The sequence below is a fragment of the Homo sapiens genome, chromosome 13 (assembly GCF_000001405.40).
Source record: "Homo sapiens chromosome 13, GRCh38.p14 Primary Assembly".
Classification (NCBI taxonomy): Eukaryota; Metazoa; Chordata; class Mammalia; order Primates; family Hominidae; genus Homo; species Homo sapiens.
The window spans coordinates 24,379,990-24,382,353 of record NC_000013.11 but is presented as its reverse complement, the minus strand read 5'-3'; the positions used below and the strand labels follow the sequence as shown (position 1 = coordinate 24,382,353).

The 2,364-nt window shown below is 38.0% G+C and overlaps 1 annotated feature.

Annotated features, from left to right (window-relative positions):
- Nucleotides 489-783: a silencer, noted in NCBI's record as "tiled region #8397; K562 Repressive non-DNase unmatched - State 21:Repr". NCBI's record gives its function as "represses a minimal TATA promoter and a strong SV40 promoter by Sharpr-MPRA in K562 cells {active_cell/tissue: K562}" and the evidence as "EXISTENCE:reporter gene assay evidence [ECO:0000049][PMID:27701403]".

Sequence of the window (2,364 nt, the reverse complement as noted above, 5' to 3'; positions counted from 1 at the left end):
AATACAATATCTGGGTTGTAATAACTAGTAGCTGTATCTTTTCCAATGCTTAAATTATATGTTTTATTTTCTTGGCCATTTGCATCTGCTTGAACCCTCAGTGCAATATCAAACAAGAATAGTGGGCCTTCCTGGCTAAGTTCTGGTTTTAATTGTATTAGTTTGGTGTTTCATGATTTGGATATCATCTGTGTCAGGCGGCCAAGTCATCCCGAAAGGGAGCATGGCTGCGGCTGTGAGGTCAGCAGGCCTCATTCCCATAGACCTGGCTGCCAAGAAGACAGTGCGCCCAAGAGGAATCAAGACAGTTTATGACTCACACAGACAGCAAAGCCACGAGCAGTGTGGTGTCAGGTCCCTGGGCCCCTACTCCAAAGGTCGACTGAAACAGAAAGCTCAGGTGATGGCCGGCTTGAGTGGTGGGTCACTCTGCGACTGAGGAGTCCTCTCTAAACTACAGCCAAGCATTTGTACAGACTACACGGAAGCCGGCAGCTCCACAGGACAGGGGAGTGGTGAGGAAGAGCTTTGTGCTCAATGGAAACTGGGGAGATGGATGAGCAAACCTTGGAGGAGGCATTCTCATGCGGATCGGGGGCTGCCCTCACTGACTCCTCCCCAGGCTAATCTCCCCTTGCTTCAGGAGAAATCATGCCCAGGACTCAGCTTAGACTGTGGTCAAGCCTCCTCTAGGAGGCCTGTAAGGAGAGGTGCAACATGGTAGAGGCACCATGGGAGAACAATTCCGCTGCAAATTGCTGCCGGGTTTTGAGATCTCTTTTGTAGTAGTTTCTTTTTAGTATTACTTTTCTCAAGACTTTTTTTGCAGAACCAATTGCTGAGTTTTCTCAAATGCTTTTTCTGTGTCTATTGATGGGATCATATGGTCAATGGATATACTAAATTTTGTAGCTAGTTTCTTGGTATTGAACTCTCTTGTATTCCTGAAAAAAGATACAGAATACTTGGTCATAGTGGATTTTTAGAAATATATTTCTGGATTCTATTTGCTAATATTTTATTCAGATTCTTTTTGCATGTATATTGTGAGTCAGTTTATAATTATCTTTTTCTGTTCTCTTTTAATTATACAATTAAAGTTTCACTTACACAATTAAAATTTCCCATCTTTTCCCATGTCCCAGAATGTTCAAAATAACATTGAAATTATTTTTACTATTATGTAAAGAAAGCCAGCTTTGACCTGTTTAAACCTGGTGATGTTTTTTTTAAAAAGAAACAGTATCATGGAGATATAATTTGCATACCATGTGAGTCACCTAAAGTGTACAAATTGATGTGTTTCAGTATATTCACAGGGTTGTGCAACCATCATCATAATCTAACTTTAGAACATTTTTGTTTCTCATAAAAGAAAACCTTTATCCATTAACAGTCACTCATATTCCTCTCTGCCCACTTCCCAGCTCTAAGCAAATTCTAATCCATTTTCTGTCTCTATGGATTGGCCTGTTTTAAACACTTCATTACAAATGCAATCCTATAATATGTGGCTCTTTGTTACCAACTTCTTGCACCTAGTGTGTTTTCAAGGTTCATCCCTGTCAACATTTTGTGGAATGTGTCAGTATTTTATTTCCTTTTCATTGCCAAATAATATTTCTTTGTAGTGATATAATGCATTTTATTTATTCATTTATTGGTTGATGAATATTTAAGTTATTTCAATTTTTGTCTATTATGAATAGTGCTGCTATGAAAATTTGCATGTAAAATTGTGGACATGTGTTTTCATTTATTTTGGGTATATACACTTAAGAGTGGAATTACCAAGTCATATTGTAAATCTATGTTTAACATTATAAGAAATCGCCAACCTGTTTCCAAAGCAGCTGCAGCATGTTGCAACCCCATCAGCAAAACAGGCTTCCAGTTCCTTCACATCCTCATCTGCAGCTGTCATTATCTGTCTTCTTGATCCTAGGCGTCCTCAGGATGTGGAGTAGAATCTGGTTGTGGTTTTGGTTTGTACCTCCCTGATGAGGAAAGATATTATGCAGCTTTTCATGCGCTTATTGGCCTTTTGTATATTTACTTTGAAGAAATGTCTATTTAAGTCCTTTGTCCCCTTTTAAATGGTATTTTTTGTCTTTTTGTTATTGAGCTATAAGGATTTTTAAATATATAGTGGATATAAGACTTCTACCAGATCTATGATTTGAAAATATTTTCTCCAATTCTATGGTGGTGTACTTTTGCTTTCTTGGTGGTATTATTTGCAGCATAAAAGTTTAAATTTTGATTGGCCCAGTTTATCTATTTTTGGTTGATATTTTTGTGCTCTTGGTGTCCTATTTAAGAAACCATTGCCTAACCCAAGGTCATGAAGGTTGACTTTCATGT